We start from the raw sequence: 19,280 nt of genomic DNA, 5'->3' as shown, positions 1-19,280 counted from the left end.
CTGTGCATGGCTAATTTTTGTATTTTTTGTAGAGACAGGATCCCACTATGTTGCCCAAGCTGATCTTGAGCTCCTGGACTGAAGTGATCCTCCCACTTCGGCCTCCCCAGATGCTGGGATTATAGGCATGAGCCACCACGCCTGGCCTCATTCTTTCTTAGGGCAACAGAAAAATGCTTTTTCTGGGAGTGCTCTAATGTCACCAAACCTCCATGTCTTTCTTTATCACCACACACAGACGTAATGTATTAGTGTATTGGTGTGGTTTTGCCCAGTGGCACTGGGCATCCAATGGTGACGCTGATCATTGCATTGCCCTTGGCTGTATTTCTCGCCGGGGACACAGGGAACAATGCATCCTCCAGTTAGCAGCATAGGTGCTGGAGTGTCCACCATCCAAGCACCTGAGGAACTCCCCTCTATGGCTGCGGTATTCCTTCCTTCCTTCAGAGTTATACCTTGTTTCATTGCTTTTTAGCAATGAAAAACATTGCTAAAAATGAAACAGTTATACCTGTTTCATTCCTTTTTAGATGGCACTGCCCAGTGTCCTGGTGGCCAGTATTTGCCTTGGTTAATATAAGCAACCTCGAAGCTGCTAACATAGCCCAGGTCAGAACTGCGAATCAAAGGCAGAATGCTCCTACATGTGCCTTTGCAACCCCGGCTAAGGCTTCCAAGGCTCTTTGGTGGACCAGGATAGGGAAACGCTCTTTCAGTATCAAAACTGTCCCAAAGTGGCTGCCGTTTGTTGCTCTGGAGGTAGTAAGTGGGTGCAGACGCCACAGATGGTCCGGCCCAGAGGGGATGCAGACCTGCTGAGTGTGTAAGGAGGAGTCAGTCACCTGAAGAAGGCTGGTTAAGCTAGGGGAGTTTAAAGCATCTTCCAAACCTAAGCATGTGTGAGTCTACAGGGAAAAGAATTTCTGGTTTCAGGACCGGATGCATAAAACTGCCTAATGGTACAGGTTGAGTCTCCCTCATCCCAAATGCTTGGGAGCAGAAGTGTTTCAGATTTCTTTCAGGCTTTGGAATATTTGTGTTATATACCAACTGGTTGAGCATCCTCAAATCTGAAAATCCAACATCCAAAGTGCTCCAATAAGCATTTCCTTTGAGCGTCATGTTGGCACTCAAAAAGTTTTAGATTCTGGCACATTTCTGATTTGGGATTTTGGGATATGGGATGCTCAGCCTGGCCCAGACAACGCAGTTCACACTTTCTAAGTAGTTTCTGAGCCTCCTCAAAAGCAAAAGTTACAGGTTGAGTCTCCCTAATCTGAAAATCCGAAATCCAACATGCTCCAAACTCAGAAACTTTTTGAGTGTTGACATGACGCTCAAAGGAAATGCTCATTTGAGCACTTTGGATTTCAGATGCTCAGGTTTTGTGGGGCTCAACCAGTAAGTATATAAATGCAAACAGTCAAACATCTGAAAAAAATCTGGAATCTGAAACACTTTTGCTCCCAAGCATTTCCGATAAAGGAGACTCCATCAGTATTTATTTGTCATATTTCAGAAAACAGTTTCCAGCATGTGGTCAACGTAAGCCATGAAAACCAGCTTTGTGTATTAGCAGCGCAAATGCTCTTAGGGAGACAGTGGCGCCATTGCCCATTCTCGGAGCTCTGTGAGCCTAACGGCGGGGTTCTGGGGAGCTTCTTCTAAGATCCTGCCCTGGGGGACCCCTGGGGACACTTCTTCTCCCCAAATTCCTGCTGAGGGCTGCTCAGGGGCGTTCACTCTGTGCCCTTCAGTGAGAGCAGGGTTTGGGAAGACACCCCTGGCCATCTGAAGGTGTTTTGCCCTGCTTTCTGCACGGTGAAAGGCGGTTACTGGGCTTGGTGTGTTCTGCCTTCGTTTACATCTGTATTTCGGAAATAAAAAGAGAGCGCCCCTTCCCCCCACTGCTTTTTATTAACAGGGAAGCAGATGTGGGGTCTCTCAGACAAGACAGCGGCCCAAGTGGTATCAGAGAGTGCGATTATTTTCTCAGAGGGTGAGTGCGTTTCTGGGCATTCTCTCTTTCAGCAATGAAGTTGTGAGGAGTGACTTGAAGAAGCTGCCAGCCCTTCCCACCCAAGCCCTGAAGGAGCACCCTTCCCTGGCCTACTGGTAAGACCCCTGGAGTCTTCCCCAGGAGCGAGTCCCTCTCGGGGTGCGAGGGGACACAGGACAACTGAATGTACCCTCCCTCCACCAGCTCCCACGTGCCAGCCTGGACTTGCAGCTGTATTAAGTACCCTGTGTCTTCCTGAAACCATTTTCTGCATTTATTTATTTATTTATTTATTTTTAAAATAATTAATTAATTTTTTTTTTTGAGACGGATCTCACTTTGTCACCCAGGCTGGAGTGCAGTGGCATGATCTCAGCTCATTGCAACTTCTGCCTCAAGCGATTCTCCTGCCTCAGCCTCCTGAGTAGCTGGGATTACAGGCACGCACCACCACACCTGGCTAATTTTTGTATTTTTAGTAGAGACCGGGTTTCACCATGTTGGCCAGGCTGGTCTCAAACTCCTGACCTCACTCAGGTGATCCGCTTGCCTCGGCCTCCCAAAGTGCTGGGATTACAGGGGTGAGCTACCACGCCTGGCCCGTTTTCTACATTTACTTAAGTGAAGCACTGTGCCTGAGACCTCTCCTTTTTTGTTTCTTCTTCTTTTTTTTTTTAATTTTCAAAAAGAATACCTTCTAAAATTTCACTTTGGAAGCTTCACCGCCTTCGAGAGCCTTTCATGTGCTGCTAGAGTTTCATTTTGGAACACCTGTCATTTGATGACAGCATGTGTGAGGTTTTGAGACGTGGGAGAACCACAGGGTTTTCTTCTTTCAGAAGAGGGAGATTGATTGTTTTATTTTCCCTCGATGTTTCACATCTCCTGATTTAGCCACTATGTAACATTATGCCATAGCTCATCTGTCGGCCCTAAATGGCTGATTCTGAATGATTCAAGCCATTTGAAAGACTCCCAGGTTGTGGTTTGGGCCACAGTTGGGCAGGGCTTGCATTCCTGGATAATGTTTTGAAATCCTACTGGGTTCCTAAGCCCTGGCCACTGACCTTTAATAACTGTAATACCTCTTCTCTGATGTTCCTTCTGATCCCCTAACAGAAATCATTGCAACTCCTTTTATTTAAAAGCAAAACAAAAAGCACAGACCAAGTTGATTCTAATAAACTACAATACGTGACTTGTGTAAGTGCTTTTGATGACAACTTCTGAACTGTATGGATTATGAGCATTTTGTCTTGTCTGGACACTTATCCAGACAGTGACCTAGTTGTTCACTGATTCGTGTGTCTGGGGTAGGGCATGTCTTGATGCAGGGCTCATTAGCAGCATTGAACTCTGGCTCATAATCCCAGCACTTTGGGAGGCCATGGCGGGCAGATCACAAGGTCAGGAGATCGAGACCATCCTGGCCAACATGATGAAACCCCGTCTCTACTAAAAATACAAAAAAAAATTAGCTGGACATGATGTCGCGCGCCTGGTGTCCCAGCTACTCAAGAGGCTGAGGCAGGAGAATCACTTGAACTTGGGAGTCGGAGGTTGCAGGGAACAAAGATTGTGCCACTGCACTCCAGCCTGGCGACAGAGCGAGAGTCCATCTCAAAACAAACAAACAAAAAAACAACTCTGGCTCATAAATCACATCTCTCTGAGAGACCACATCACTAGGGAGCTGGCCCCAAGACCCGAGGCTGGGAGCTCCCTTCCGTGTCTGGCGTCCCTAATTTCATCTCTCTGAGCTGTTTTATTGCCACTCCTCTTTTGGAAACATAGATGTAAATAAATGATGGCTTTCTCTAATTATAACCTGCCCCCAAAGAGCAAAATCTGTTAACTTGCAGGGATTTTGCATGCATCAGCTTCCAAATGTCGAGACTTGCAATCCGAACCCCCAAAAATGATGGTCCCGTTTCCTTGTTCATGGACCCTATTACCCACCTCCCTAATTCCTTGTGCCACTGGGCCTCATCCCTCTGTAGCCTCCTGGCTGTTCACTTCCAAAAATCCAATGGTCAAGGCCCTGGGGATGTGAGAAGGTAACTAGAGAGGACCAGGGAGGAATCTCTTTGCCTCTGAGACCTGTCCTGTTGTGGGTCTCTTAGTCATCCCTTCATTCATTCCTTTCCAAACCTTAGAACACTGCTATGCTCATCTGAGAGTTTTGAATTTCTTCTCTCCTCCCTGTGTCTCTGGATTTCTCCTTCACCATCTCCATTATCTGCTCTGTACTCACACATGATTACTAACCCAGAGGCACCTCGCCCTTCACACACACTCTCTCTGTCTCTTCTGCATATGAACATCTTCACCTATAGCTGGCTTGGCAGAACATCCCATACCATCACGACCAGGCCAGCGCTTTCCCTGAGCCTCCTTCAGACCCATAAGTGCCCAAGCCAGTGTTAAATGCCCTGAGAGTGTGGCAGGACGGGGGAGCCACGTGTATCACAGTCAGCATCACAGCCCAGACGATGTATAAAAGTCAATGACAGGGACCCTCCTGACGATACCCTACTGAAAAACAACAACCACAACCACAACAGGCCCTTTCACCTCATTTCACTGTGGTTGGCTACTTGATGTTGGCTCTAATATTTCAACCTTATTTATATGGACTTTGATTCTTATTGATACATAATAGTTGTACATATTTTTCACGTATATATACTCTGATATCTGTACATAATGTGCAGTGGTCAAATCAGGGTAACTGGGATATCCATCACCTCGAACATTTATCTTTTCTTTGTGTTGGGAACATTACAAGTCTTCACTTTTGGCTACTTTGACATATGCAACAAATTATTGTTAACTATAATTTCCCTACTGTTCTATCAAATGCTAGAACATATTCCTTCTAGCTAACTATTTTCATATCCCTATATATACATAGATTTTTAAAAAGCAAAGCCGCAAGGAGAGGGATAAGTGCTGTTCCTCCTTCCTACAGATACAGAATGAAGAGAGAGCAGGTGCACACAGCTTGTTCACTGCTTTTCCCTCTGGGCCTCAGATTCACCACTCAGCAAGGTTAACCAGGACCCCTCACTGGTGGGGGAGACGTTTTTACCCGTCTCATCACAGTTACCCAGAGTGTCAAGTTCCCCTGATCATTCCTGAACTAAGGAGCTGTACTCACCATTCTTCGGGGGCTTTCCTGCCCCCGCTGGAGTTCGCACATTGGATGGGCAACCTGCAGGCTGCAGCCTGGTAACCAAGGCAGTGGGTCTTAGCATCCCAGCCAAGCCTCTGCAGTGACTAGCCAGGTAGCTTTCATCAATTTCTCCTCTGCAAAATGGGATGACATACACCAACCTACTTGAGACGGTAATTAAGAGAGGAAATACATAGTCACATTATGTCATTAAAAAGCAGTGAAAGCAGCATAATAATGCTGAGTTATGGTGCAAGAAGCCTTTCTGCTAATTCTCCCCATGCATTTAACAAGCATGGACTTTTCACACCGTGCGATTTCCCTGTTGAGGAGGCAACTGAGGCAGAAAGTTAGAATGATGTGCCCAGGGCCACAGAACAAGGAGGGATCAGGACCCTGACCTGGATTCTGCCTCGCGGGCCTAGTTTGTAAATGCTGGACCACCTGACCACCCCTATCGCCTCAATAAGGTATGCAGGGACATCTATTTTTAACCCCGAAACCACTGAGCACAGCAGGCCAGCAGCTGCTCCAAGACGGGGAACCATATCATATCACCATCCCTGTTTCCCCTTCCATCACCCATGCATTTCATGTATCCCCTTGTCTGCTGAGAGGTCATTTGACTTAACAACATGACCCAGCCAGCGACCTGGGCACAGGCAGCTTTGATCATTTGCCTTTTTCCTCCATGTAACCCTGTGTCCTCCAGGCAGCACTTACTCTGCTTCCTGGATTTCTGCTAGTTATCCCCTTGAGTCCCTGCTACAAATCTAGGGTATGGGAAAATTGTCTGCAAAGCTCAGAGCACTTCAGCCCTCTGGCAAGTTCCAGAGCAGAGGTGGGGACAGGCTGGGAGCAGAATAGGTTCTCGGTCAGGATTGAGCCTGTTCTTCCAGGATAAGCCCACCATGTTTAAGGGGGCAAAACAAGCAGGAAAAGCTGAGGATGGAGAAGGCAATTATTGTGGCTTCACAGATGGCCTCAGAGAGCAGGAGTTACAGGGCAAACAGGGGGCGGCAAAGATTTCTGCTGCTGTCGGCCACCCAGAACCCTGTGGTCAGGACATGTCGTGGTTAAACAGCGACGCGGCTTTCTGACAGTGGTTTTGACTTTCTTTCACTGGTGTTTCTCCTGAGCCTTCTGTGTGTTCATGGCTACAGTGCTATGTTGACTTGCACCTCCTGAACTCACCCCAGGGACCCTCTCTCCCTAGTGCTGCAAAGGAAAAAGGTCCCTATCTACACTGAGTTGCTTGACCCTGGATCTAGGAGTCGACTTCACAAAACCCCATGTCACGTGGTAGGAAACACGCCAAGGCAGCTGTTGATTTAGTGAGTGGGATGGAAGGAAGTGGAGCCGCTGAACCTCCTGACGCAGTTCTGCAGGATTAGTGAGGCTGGGCCTGCCCTTGGGGAGCATGCTTTTCGAGAATCGTCTTCAGGAGACGACCTTGTCACACTTGATATAGAACTTCCTCGGCATGTGGGAGCCAAGGAGAGAGATGGCTGGGTCTGCCCCTTTCTGAATAGAGGATATCCAGACCCCACAGAAGTGACTCTCCAACTGAGGCAAGGCCCCCTGTAGCTGGCTGGTCCTCATTCTGGGTATTTATAAAGACCCTTCTTTATCAAGACCTCTCACTGTCCTCTATGCATCAAATTCCAGAGTATTAAAATTAAAAGATACTAGTTGGAGGTTAAGGTAGTCATTGGAAGAGAAATAAATTACCCCCAAGGACTAGGTGATGAATGTGTAGAACCTGTTACCCCCAACACTGGCCTTGCTAAAACTGAAAACAAAAAGGTGGGTAAAAGAAGGCTTTAGGTAGATCCTGGGCTGATGGATAATAGATAATAGGGCCGGGTATAGTGACTCACACCTGTAATCCCAGCATTTCAGGAGGCTGAGATGGGCAGATTATTTGAGGTCAGGAGTTTGAGACCAGCCTGGTCAATGTGGTGAAACCTCATCTCTACTAAAAATACAAAAATTAGCCAGGCGTGGTGGTGCACACCTATAATCCCAGCTATTCGGAAGACTGAGGCAGGATAATTGCTTGAACTTGGGAGATGGAGGTTGCAGTGAGTCAGGATCATACCACTGCACTCCAGTCTGGGCGAGAGAGCAAAACCTTGTCTCAAAAATAATAGATAATAAAGATCCTCTATTGAGATCTCGAGGGTACACCCCTAGAATCAGCTCCCCTCACAGAGCTTTGACAGAGGACAGGGAGGGTGAAGAGGAGTAAGACCTGAGAGTGAGAACTGAGGTTCCAAGGCTCTGGGGCCAGACCAGGGAGACCGAGGTGTCGACTCCACACCTCAGCAGGTGGGGTTGGGGCTTTCTGCCTGCACCTGCTTCCCTGGGATTCCCCAGGTTGGCTCTGCCCTTCCGAAAGCGGGGGTGGGAGCGGCCGTATCTCCTACCTCATGGGCACCAGAGTCACTTCTCAGGAGGCGGGCTTGCCACTGCTGCCAAGGAGCCAGCTAACCTCTTGTTATATTAGAACTAGGATTTCAGCTGGGCGCGGTGGCTCACGCCTGTAATCCCAGCACTTTGGGAGGCAGGGGTGGGCAGATGACCTGAGGCCCGGAGTTTGAGACCAGCCTGGCCAACATGCAAAACCCCATCTCTACTAAAAATACAAAAATTAGCAAGGTGTGGTGACACACACCTGTAATCCCAGCTACTCAGGAGGCTGAGGCACAAGAATTGCTTTAAACTGGGAGGCAGAGGTTGCGGTGAGCCAAGATCGCTCCACAGCACTCCAGCCTGAGTGACAAGGGAGACTGCGTCTCAAAAACAAAAACAAAAACACCTAAGATTTCAAAAAAGGAGGGAGCGCCTGTCTAATTCTGGTAGCTGGTTTGCTGTTGTTCTCCAAGCATTCCTATGGGGCTTTTGTTGCTTCATGGTTCATATTAACCAAGCCCAAATTCCAGAACATTCCATCCTCCTGGAAAGCCTTCCATTCCTGACTACGCATTCAGAGCAGGTAGGCTGTGGGCACTTGGTTAAGGTCAATGCCTGCCATTCCCCCATGAGGCCCTGTGTGAACAGGACTGGGAAGATGAGGATAAGAAGGGCCCCAGGGAGCTCAGCCCGGGCATTCATGCGTCATCTCTGCTGTCTGCTTCCTCTTGTTCCCACGGTACCATTTCTTCCAAGGAGCTGATCCCAAAACCTGGGCTCCAGTCTTTTTGTTCTTTTGTTTTTTGTTTTTGAGCCAGGGTCTCACTCTGTCACCCAGGCTGGAATGCAGTGGTGCAATTGTAGCTCACTGCAGCCTTGACCTCCTGGGCTCAAGCAATCCTCCCACCTCAGCCTCCCAAGTAGCTGGGACTGCAGGCATACCCCACCATGCCTGGCTAATTTTTGTATTTTTGTATAGAGACAAGGTCTCACTGTGTTGCCCAGGCTGGTCTCAAACTCCTGGGCTCAAGCAATCCCCCCATGTCAGCCTCCCTAAACACTGGGATTACAGGGGTGAGCCACTGCACCCGGCCTGGGCTCCAGTCTTATATTTCTTGATTAGAAATCCAAGATAAGCCAGCCATGGTGGCTCACGCCTGTAATCCCAGTACTTTGGGAGGCCAAGGTGGGTGGATCACTTGAGGTTAAGAGTTTGAGACCAGCCTGGCCAACATGATGAAACCCTGTCTCTACTAAAAATACAAAAATCAGTCAGGTGTGGTGGCACGCACCTGTAGTCCCAGCTACTCTGGAGGCTGAGGCACAAGAATTGCTTGAACTCGGGAGGTGGAGGTTGCAGTGAACCAAGATCGCACCATTGCACTCTAGCCTGGGTGACAGAGCAAGACTCCGTCTCAAAAAAAAAAAAAAAAACAAACATCCAAGACAAAGAGAATGCAAGTCCTTTGTGGGGAAAACAGACTCTTTTTAAAGTAAATCTACATCCAAATAGATAGCACTCAGACCGAGTTTGGAAATACCACTCCAGGACAAATCATTTTTCCAGGAGCTGTTGGTGCCTTGGAGCTTCTTATGAGATGGGGCTGAGAAATATCTTACTGGCAGGAAGCTTGGCTGTTGACCTAGAGACTCCAACAACAGCATTCTTTTCTTCTAATTACAGTGAAGACAGAGTCATTGAGCACTACAAGAAACTGAACGGTCAGACAAGAGGTCAAGCAATCGTAAAGTAAGTGGCCCCTTCCCAGCTCACATGGGGACAGTGTTTGTGTGTGTTAATATATCGTATGTCAGGATTGTTCAGTTCCTCTCCAAAGACATATCTGGGAGTGGGGGGTGTATGTTTCCATTTAATTTTCAAGTAAATAATCACTCCGAGAACTTTATCACGTACACATACACAAATATATATATGATACCAGATCTGCTGAATAACTAGCCTTTTGCGCATTGTGTGTGTGTTTGTGTATCTTCGTGTTGTCATTCCAGCTACATGAGCATCGTGGAGTCTCTCCCAACCTACGGGGTTCACTATTATGCAGTGAAGGTGAGTAGACTCATTTGGTGAAGGTTACCAAACCTCCCCTAAGCAAACAAATCAAAACATCTCGTTATATGTTTTCTTCTTTTTCTTTTTCTTTTGAGATAGAGTCTTGCTTTGTCTCCCAGGCTGGTGTGCAGGGTGCGATCTTGGCTCACTGCAACCTCCACCTCCCGGGTTCAAGCGATTCTCCTACCTCAGCCTCCTGAGTAGCTGGGATTACAGGCATGCGCCACCACACCCAGCTAATTTTTGTATTTTTAGTAGAGACGAGGTTTTGCCATGTTGGCCAGGCTGGTCTGGAACTCCTGACCTCAGGTGATCTGCCTGCCTCGGCCTCCCAAAGTGCTGGGATTATAGGCGTGAGCCACCGCGCCTGGCCCTCATTGTTTTTTTCTTTATAATTCCTGGTGGGAATGGAGGTTGTGGAGGACTTGGTCAGGAAGATTGCACACTGCGGGGAGACAATTTCAAATACAGAAAACTTCATCCAGTTAACTTGCTTCAACCTGTGGTCCATTTCTTTGTCAGCCCTAGAACTTAACAGAAAGGCTGCCTCTGATATATATGCTTTCTGCCTTCCAAGAAAACTTCAAAACTGTGCTCTTTATTTCAGTTTGGTAAAGATCAAAAGCAGGGCTTGTGATTTTCAAAGTGCCAAAGGAGTAGAGGTGTTTGGCACTTAGAACCTCAAAGCATAAGCAATGGCTCTGCTACTAATTTGGAAAAGAGCACGAATCCAGGAAACCTGGCCCAGCTGCACCAGGCTCCCTGTCTGGTGGCCTTGTGGTCTCACTGATGCCATGTTTTATGGTGTGATGACAGCCCTTCTCTGGTCAATCTGCTGTTGCAGTGGCATTGGGTTTCCTCTTGTTCTGTTCTCTGAAACCGTTGCAGTGCACACAGCTGCTTCCCAGAGGCAGGGGTTTAATACAAGGATTTTATCCCACCTTTAAAGTTTTAAGAAATCATATACCCAGAAGCTTGAAAAGAAATTTCAAAATTTATCTCTTTTGCCTTTCATCTTTTTGCTCATCTTGAAATAACTCACGCCCCACAAATATTTCAAAACCGTGATGCCAGTTTCAAGTTTTCCAGACACCCACTATGGGGTTGTATTAGGTTATTTAGAAACTTGGCAATTAGGGAAAAGCTGCTTGATATGCTCACTATAAAATCCTAGCTTCTGGGGGCTCTAATTAACTCAGAATCATCCTATTTGAATATAGAATTGCAACTTACGCTCAGGTGACAAGAGGTCTCTGTTAATAAACAGTGGGGGCAGGCGCAGTGGCTCATGACTGTAATCCCAGCACTTTGGGAGGCCAAGACGGGTGGATCAGCTGAGGTCAGGAGTTTGAGACCAGCCTGGCCAACATGGTGAAATCCTGTCTCTACTAAAAATACAAAAATTAGCCAGACGTGGTGGCACGTGCCTGTAATCCCAGCTACTTGGGAGGCTGAGGTGGGTGAATTCCTTGAACCTGGGAGGCGGAGGTTGCAGTGAGCCAGGATTGTGCCAATGCACTCCAGCCTGGGTGACAGAGTGAGACTCCATCTCAAAAAAAAAGGAATAAACAGGGACTTGGTGTTTCTAATTCAGTCCTGAGACTGTTTCAGCTTCCACTGTGCTACCCTGTCCAACAGCATGAGTCCTAAAACCCTGCCTGGCACCCAGCTGTCATCTTGGGTGAGCAGGACCTCAGGGTGACACCTTCCAGCCTGTGCTCCCCGGAGCTGGGGAAGGTCCTGGGTAAAGCTGGGCCAACTCTTTGCTGTGATTTGTTGTTAAAATGAGAGGAGTCACTTTCCATAGTCTCCACAGCTCCTCTGGCTCTGACCATCGATGACAGTTTCTCTGCCCAGAAGGTCCTTTTATTAGGTGTGACATCTCACAGATTTTCAGTTGTGGTGAGTGAGCATCCCGGCATGGAATGCCTAAATTCTTAGAAGGAAAAAAAAGAGAGAGAGAGAGCGCAAGCAGGGCATTCATTCCTTATTTATAAAGGGAAAGGACCTCGGCTGTGCGGCTGATTAAGAGCAGAGCCAGGCCCCCAGCCCCCGGCACTCCCCATGTCACCCTCTTCACATAACAGAGTATCCTTCAATGACAGACGCATCTGTTAAGAAACAAAGTAGACAGGTGGGCTCCATCCATTCCAAGGAAATGGCCCTTTCCCTCGTCTGCCCCTGAGCCAGGAAATCTCCACTTTGCGTGTGTTTACTTCCTCCAGTCCCATATTCACCCAAACTTTTTTTGATATCCTAGGACAAGCAGGGCATACCATGGTGGCTGGGCCTGAGCTACAAAGGGATCTTCCAGTATGACTACCATGATAAAGTGAAGCCAAGAAAGGTAAGGCTGGTCTCCTGCTTGGGTTTAACTCCTCTCAGATCCAGAGAGGAACAGGCGTAGGAGTCACTTTAAAAATGCTAACGCCATGCAGCCTAAAGGCTCACCAATCTCCTGCTAATTTTAGTGTATACAAATTACTCCACAGCAATCCCATCTGAGTTCCCTGGGTAAATATTTTTTCTTTTTTTTCTCCCTGTCTCTAAGGAAATCTAAGCTGTTATAATTACTTAAGGTGAGATGACTGGCTCAGTTCTCCCCAGAGCAGATAGGCAAAGAGACTTTTGAGGGACTATCCTGTTCCTTAATTTCGGGCAGGGCTGTATTCTTTGGAAAAATGATGTAACATTTCTCTTGAATCCTGAAGCCAGTCTGAGTTCTCCCAAAGATTTCTGGGACAGGATCAGGGGAGGTGGGAGAGCTGAAAGAAGAGATTGCAGGTCAAAAAGAGCTGAAAGGCTGGGCACGCTGGCTCACGCCTGTAATCCTAGCACTTTGGGAGCCTGAGGCAGGTGGATCACTTAAGGCCAGGAGTTCTATACCAGCCTGGCCAACATGGTAGAACCCTCTCTCTACTAAAAATACAAAAATTAGCTGGGCATGGTGGTGCATGCCTGTAATCCCAGCTACTTGGGAGGCTGAGGCATGAGAATCGCTTGAGCCCGGGAGGCGGAGATTGCAGTGAGCCAGGATTGCCCTGCTGCACTCCAGCCTGGGTGACAGAACAAGACTTTGTCTCAAAACAAAAAACAGAAAAGCTGAAAAATAAGAGAGAGAGGGTTTCCTGGAAATCCAGCACATATTTTCTGGCTCAATAAAGGTGATCAGAAAATAAGGTTATTTGCTGAAGAGGGAGAGAAACAGAAAACGGTTTGCAAAGTCCTTGTAAACCCAAAATGGAATGTTTGAAAGGGATACAACGTTTGAATTTTCTCTGTTTTCATTTACAAACACTTTTCAGACCAGAACAAATTGAAAAATTATAATGGAAACATATCTTAGAGGCGAGTGCTATCATTCAGATCCCCCGGTGGAGAATAAAGGAGATGGTATGCAGTCCAAACCCTGAAATACATATTAAAAACCTATGAAAACCACACTTGCTTTAGCAGAGAGAAAGCAATATTGGGCCATTATGTCATTCCAGATTGCTTTCCAAGCTGTTTTATCCTCGAATAGGATTGAAACCCACACTACATATCTAAGTGGATTGTAGGCTCTCCAGTTAACATCTGTCCTTGGCAAACTTCTTTATTAAATTGATAGAAGAAAAAATGTTCCCATGTTGGGAGGATTTTTACTCCATTGATCAGTAAGGTGGTTAAGTTCTAAGAAAAGATGCTGAGCAAATGATGGGGGAATTATTGACTGAGAACAATTCAGGAAGAACCTGGCTCTTTGGCGGGTGGAGGGAGTGTTGTTTTGCGGCTATCTCCAAAGCCTTTCCTTATCCATTTATATGCAACAAGAAATGAATTGGACCCCCTGTTCTTACCTTTTCTGGCTTTGTGTTCCTCAATTGTGGGATCCATACCTCTTCCTCCCTGTATTTTTCTTCCTGTTTTCCCTGTGCCTTTTTCCCACGTGGCATTTTTAATTTTCTGTGCCTTTTCTTCCTGAGTTCTCTCTTCCCTCCTTCTTTTTAGAACAACCCTTCTCTTTTTGTTTTTTGTTTGTTTGTTTGTTTGTTTGTTTGAGATGGAGTCTCGCTCTGTCTCCCAGGCTGGAGTGCAGTGGCACGCTCTTGGCTCACTGCAACCTTTGCTTCCCAGGTTCAAGCGATTCTCATGCCTCAGCCTTTCCAGTAGCTGGATTACAGGCGCCTGCCACCACGCCTGGCTGATTTTGTATTTTTAGTAGAAATGGGGTTTCACCATGTGGGCCAGGCCTGTCTCAAACTCCTGACCTCAAGTGATCTGCCCTCCTCAGCCTCCCAAAGTGCTGGAATTACAGGTGTGAGCCACCACACCTGGCCTGACTCTTCTCTTTTCAACCTGCCTGACTGTTTTTGCACTTGCAAAAGCCAAGAATACTCCCTAAAGCCTTTAACAAAATTCTGGCTGCAATACATTGAGCTCTCTCTTGCCTGTAGTGGTGGAAGACCAAGGCCGACATGCATAATTGAGGTCTACAGCAGAGATAATTAAAATCCAGCAGTTGAAATCTCTTCTCCCTCTAAGCTTTTTAGAGGACATGCTAACAAGTATTCATACTTGTTTGGTTCAATTTATTAATATGTTTAAGCTTTCTTTATTCCTCTAATTGAGGTTCTAATGAAGAGTGAAGAGGTGATGAGCTAGCACTTGATGTATGTAAAACAGGAAAGGATGCATAGCTAGGGCTCAGTCAATTATAACTATTATTATAAGATGCTAAAACAGGCTTCAAGATAAGAATTAAGAGGCCAAAGGCATGAATAATCAGCCATCAAATAAGAGAATTTACAATAATGAATGGAACTTATCCAGGTCCATGAATTAAAAATGTCAAAAGGTCAATATAGTTTTCCAGGCCATTGTCTCTAACCCAAACTGGGTTGTTATTGAAAATCACTTGGGTTTCTGTGGCCTTGGAGGAAGAAGTTAGAATTTTCCAGCCCATTCCTACTTGAAGGACAGACTACCAATCTGTCACAGCCATCACTCATTCATTCGCTCAAAAAAACAGTTATTGTGGCCGGGCGCAGTGGCTCACGCCTGTAATCCCAGCACTTTGGGAGGCCGAGGCGGGTGGATCACTTGAGTTCAGGAGTTCGAGACCAGCCTGGCCAAAATGGTGAAACTCCGTCTCTACTAAAAATACAAAATTAGCTGGCCATGGTGGCACATGCCTGTAATCCCAGCTACTGGGGAAGCTGAGGCAGGAGAATCACTTGAACCTGGAAGGCAGAGGTTGCAGTAAGCTGAGATCGCACCACTGCGCTCCAGCCTGGGTGACAGAGCCAGATTCCATCTCAAAAATAAATAAATAAATAAATAAATAAATAAATAAATAAATAAATAAATAGAAAAAGAAGAAGAAAAAAAAGTTATTGCATACCTATTAGGTGCCAAGCACATCACTGGGCACTGAGATGAGACATAAATCCTGTCCTCCAAGATGTGTGATAATCCAGCCAGTGTCTGAGTGGTGTAATAGGAATCTGTGTGAGGGTCGGGGATGATTCAAGAAGGCAGGCGTCAACTGGGTGTAAGGAGAAGAGAAGTCCCCACAGAGGAAGCAGAGAGTGAGTGGGGTCTTCAAGGGTGCAAAGAATTTTGCAGACGGAGGAATGGGGCGGGGAGGCATGCAGGGGAGAGGCCAGTGTGCCTGAAATCACAGTGACAGGGGTAGGGGACACAGTGCCCTTCATTCTGGAACATCAAGTGAAAAGAGAGGAGTTGGTGAGGGGGCTGGGGCCTGCAGGCTCCTGGAGGCTTGAAGGCTCTGCGAAGAGGACTTCCTCCTCTATAGGGAGTGTTAGCCGCGGTCTATTTGAAGCTGAGGAGTATAGTGTCAGATTTCCATTGTCGTAGAAGCACTCTCCGGAAACTGCTTGGAGGCTGGATAGGAAAAACCCAGGACAAGACTGAGAAACCAGGACATGATGAGGGTAGGGCGGGCAACACCTGGCGGGGCTTCAGGATGGAGAAGGGGAACCAAGATGTTGAGAAGGTGTGTGTTACTCATCACCTGTAGGCGGAAGAGGGAGGCCATGAGAGAAGGAGGGCAATGCAGAATGACTCCCAGGCTTCAGGATCCACCAGAGTGTGGACGCTGAGAGAAGAGGAGGTCTGGGAGTGACAGATGAGGGATGAGTGCAGCTTAGGACATGCAACGCGGCAGGCTTGATGGGACATCCAGGTGCCTGTGACTAGTAGGCAGTTGGGCATTCAGCTGGAGCTCAGGAGTAGCAAGAATTTCCAAAGCATCACTGAACCAGAGACTGGACAGAGGGAGGAGGTTGGATTGGCAGTTGGCACACCAGTAGCTAGGAGTGAAGAGTTCATTTCCCAATCACGACGATCACGGTGAGATGCAGAGGCAGCTTCCGTTGCATGGGCTCTGAAGCTTACATAATTTGGGGCCCTCCTTAAGAAATGAATGTACAATCTGAATATAAAATTAAGAACAGGCCTTTGGCCAGGTGAGGTGGCTCACGCCTGTAATCCCAGCACTTTGGGAGGCCGAGGCGGACAGATCACCTGAGGTCAGGAATTCAAGACCAGCTGTCCAACATGGTGAAACCCCATCTCTACTAAAAATACAAAATTAGCCAGGCCTGCTGCGGGGGCGGGGCGCCTATAATCTCAGCTACTCGGGAAGCTGAGGCAGGAGAATCATTTGAACCCGGGAGGCGGAGGTTGCAGTGCGCTGAGATTTCGCCACTGCACTCCAGAGCGAGACTCCATCTCCAAAAAAAAAACCAGGCCTTTGAAAAGCCCTTGAGGGAAAGCAAAACCTTAGTTTTGTTAGCTTCTAGGGGTACCCCCCCACCCCGCTAAGATGTCAGATGGAACTTAAAGGCAAGGCCGTGGACTCAGCTGGAGCCATTGTTAAGAAGCCTTAGCTACAAGAAGACCTAAACGGGGTGCCTGTTTGTTTTTCTTGCATTGCCAACCTCATCACCATTATAAAAAGGCCATCTGTGTTATGTTTAAGGGACATGTCAGTTTCTGAGGCTACAAAAAGCCCCACACCCTGATCCCAGATCTCAGAATCTGAAAAGATGCACACACGTGTGAATGCATATCGATGCAAGTCCGCACCTAAGCCAAAAGTCTGTCTTCAGTGCCTCCAGGCCAGTGGCTCTTAACCTCCGCTGTACATCAGGAACTCATCTGAAGCTGCTGGGACATCTAGATGCCACAGCCCCCTGCAGGCCTTCTCACCTACACCTCCGACCAGGCCACTGAGCCCAGAAGAAGCCCCACAGGGATTCTGATGTCCTGGAGACAAGGACCACCACTGGCAGCCCTCTGTGCTTTGAAAACTCAGACATGGGGAAGGTCAGCCAGGCTCCCTAGTGTGGCCAGCAGTGTCCCTGCACACCGAGGGCAGGGGAGGTCCCATGCATGGGCCTCATGGCTGGGTGAGCCATCTGGGAGGGGTGGCACTCCAGGGGATGCCACTCCCTCTTGGCTCTGGTGCTTGGCACATCTCTGCCACCTCGAGCCTCCAGGGATGCTCAGGCAAGGGAGTGACACCCAGCACTGTGCACCTGGAGGCTTCTGCAGTAACAGCTGCATCTCCAGCCCAGGCAGCTGCTCCTGCCCGGCGGCAGACAGAGGCCCTCCCTGACACTCTGACCCAGTTACAGCGGCTCTGTCACGTTGCACCAACACAAGAAGAGCCCATGTTTAAGTAGAGGCAGTGGCAGGGGTGAGTCTGCTCCCTCTCCTTTTCAGAGCCCAGAGGCGTCCACTGCCTGCACAGCTCCAACAGCATTGGCAACCCGTCGGCACACTCACAGGGGCTCAGCAGCCGCCTTGAGAATCCACTTAAGTGTTTCCATATGACCTACCCCTCATCCCCACAAAAAAGCCCAAACAAACAAAAAAGGCACCAAGAAAGAGTAGCTGATGACTGTCCAGAAAAGAGCACAACAGTAGCCCGTCCCTCATTCTCCAGTTGCAAGCAGTTTGCCATCCTAGTTTCAGAGTCTGCCCTCAGTCACTTAATCACCAGTCTGGAGCTTAGAGGCTCTTGGGGGTTGGAGTAAAACGCAAGGGACCTCACCGGTGGCTCCGAGAACAGAGAACATTTAAACCCCACACTCTGCTACCTGGACCTTCTAAAGAGACAGCCTCCTGGCCTTCAGAAGCACAGCCCTCAATGCAAGCTGCTGGAGTTTGTCAAAAAATCGAAAATCACAGCTTCATTGCCTGCAGGGTACACATGTCAGGAACAGCTGAACACGTGGGGACACCCTGCAGACTGGATTTTGGCTTTTGTGCGTGTTCAGAAGAGTTCAGAGACGTTGAACTTCTGAAGGCCAACTTCGGTAGTATTTTGGAACAACATATATGGAAGAACAGCTCCCAGAACACCCTAAAAAAAGCAGCAAACAAGACTAAGAAAAATCAGAATCTACAATGCATGCACCTCCCCCAGAATATCAGCCCTTGCTTGCATATATAAGTTCTTTTTAAGAGGTCAAGCAGAACCCTAAACACTATCTGAGGATAGGATGTAGAATTTTTTTTTTTTTTTTTTTTGAGATGAAGTCTTGCTCTTGTTGCCCAGGCTGGAGTGCAATGGTGTGATCTCAGCTCACTGCAACCTCCACCTCCCCGGTTCAAGCAATTCTTCTGCCTCAGCCTCCCGAGTAACTAGGATTACAGGCACGTGCCACCACACCCAGCTAATTTTTGTATTTTTAGTAGAGACGGGGTTTCACCATGTTGGCCAGGTTGGTCTTGATCTCCTCACCTCAGGGGATCCCCCCACCTTGGCCTCCCAAAGTGCTGGGATTACAGGCGTGAGCCACTGCGCCCGGCCAAGATGTAGAATTTTTTATAGGACATTAAATGTCCCGTCATCAGCTCTCAGTAAATCTACTTCAGTCCTTCACCCAATGATGTTTCCCCCTCCCTCTTTGCCTTCCTCCCCACTTCTGATCTCCTGTTTATACTCAAACGCTATGTGACACTTGGGGACATCCCTTTGAGTGCTTTGTAGCTCTCCTCTCTCCTTTGTCATGGCTACGGTTGGAATTCACAATTGTGAATGCAGCATCCAAGTACGGTGCTGACGGGATCTTACATGTCTGTCTTGGCTCAGCAGTGATGACAGAAGTAGAAAAGTCACAATAGAAAAAAAAAATCTTTTTTTTTTTTTGAGAGGGAGTCTCGCTCTGTCTCCCAGGCTGGAGTGCAGTGGCACGATATTGGCTCACTGCAACCTCTGCCTCCTGGGTTCAAGCAATTCTGCTGGTTCAGCCTCCAGAGTAGCTGGGACTATAGGCGTGTGTCACCATGCCTGGCTAATTTTTTTTTTTTTTTTTTTGTATTTTTAGTAGAGACTGGGTTTCACCATGTTAGTCAGGCTGGTCTCAGACTCCTGACCTCAAAAGATCCACCCACCTCAGCCTCCCAAAGTGATGGGATTACAGACGTGAGCCACTGTGCCCAGCCAAAAAAACAAATCTTGCAGCAATTGTTGTACCCTATTTTATGCTAGTTACCACATTCCATTTTAGCATGTGCATATGTGTGGGAATAGAAAGAAGCGCTGCTGAGGTGAGAGGCTCCGTATTTCACAAATTACCGTCCTACTGGGCTCAGGAGACAAT

The 19,280-nt window shown here is 47.7% G+C and overlaps 1 protein-coding gene across 3 annotated transcripts in view, besides 2 other annotated features; it reads left to right on the top strand.

Moving 5' to 3' along the window:
• Nucleotides 1–19,280, top strand: part of FRMD4A (FERM domain containing 4A) — a 687,219-nt gene that overhangs the window by 581,071 nt on the left and 86,868 nt on the right. For all 3 annotated transcript variants that reach the window (NM_018027.5, NM_001318336.2, NM_001318337.2), the window contains 4 exons: nucleotides 2,035–2,118; nucleotides 9,277–9,342; nucleotides 9,603–9,660; nucleotides 11,924–12,010. In NM_018027.5, coding sequence (NP_060497.3) covers nucleotides 2,035–2,118; nucleotides 9,277–9,342; nucleotides 9,603–9,660; nucleotides 11,924–12,010 — 295 coding nt within the window. The remainder of the gene's footprint in view (nucleotides 1–2,034; nucleotides 2,119–9,276; nucleotides 9,343–9,602; nucleotides 9,661–11,923; nucleotides 12,011–19,280) is intronic.
• Nucleotides 6,328–6,567: an enhancer, noted in NCBI's record as "active region_3062". NCBI's record gives its function as "activates an Ori minimal core promoter by ATAC-STARR-seq in GM12878 lymphoblastoid cells {active_cell/tissue: GM12878}" and the evidence as "EXISTENCE:reporter gene assay evidence [ECO:0000049][PMID:35858748]".
• Nucleotides 9,191–9,485: a silencer, noted in NCBI's record as "tiled region #15561; HepG2 Repressive non-DNase unmatched - State 22:ReprW". NCBI's record gives its function as "represses a minimal TATA promoter and a strong SV40 promoter by Sharpr-MPRA in HepG2 cells {active_cell/tissue: HepG2}" and the evidence as "EXISTENCE:reporter gene assay evidence [ECO:0000049][PMID:27701403]".

The sequence above is a fragment of the Homo sapiens genome, chromosome 10, assembly GCF_000001405.40.
Source record: "Homo sapiens chromosome 10, GRCh38.p14 Primary Assembly".
NCBI lineage: Eukaryota > Metazoa > Chordata > Mammalia > Primates > Hominidae > Homo > Homo sapiens.
Note: the sequence above shows the minus strand (reverse complement) of the source record. Positions and strands in the feature narration are given on the sequence as shown.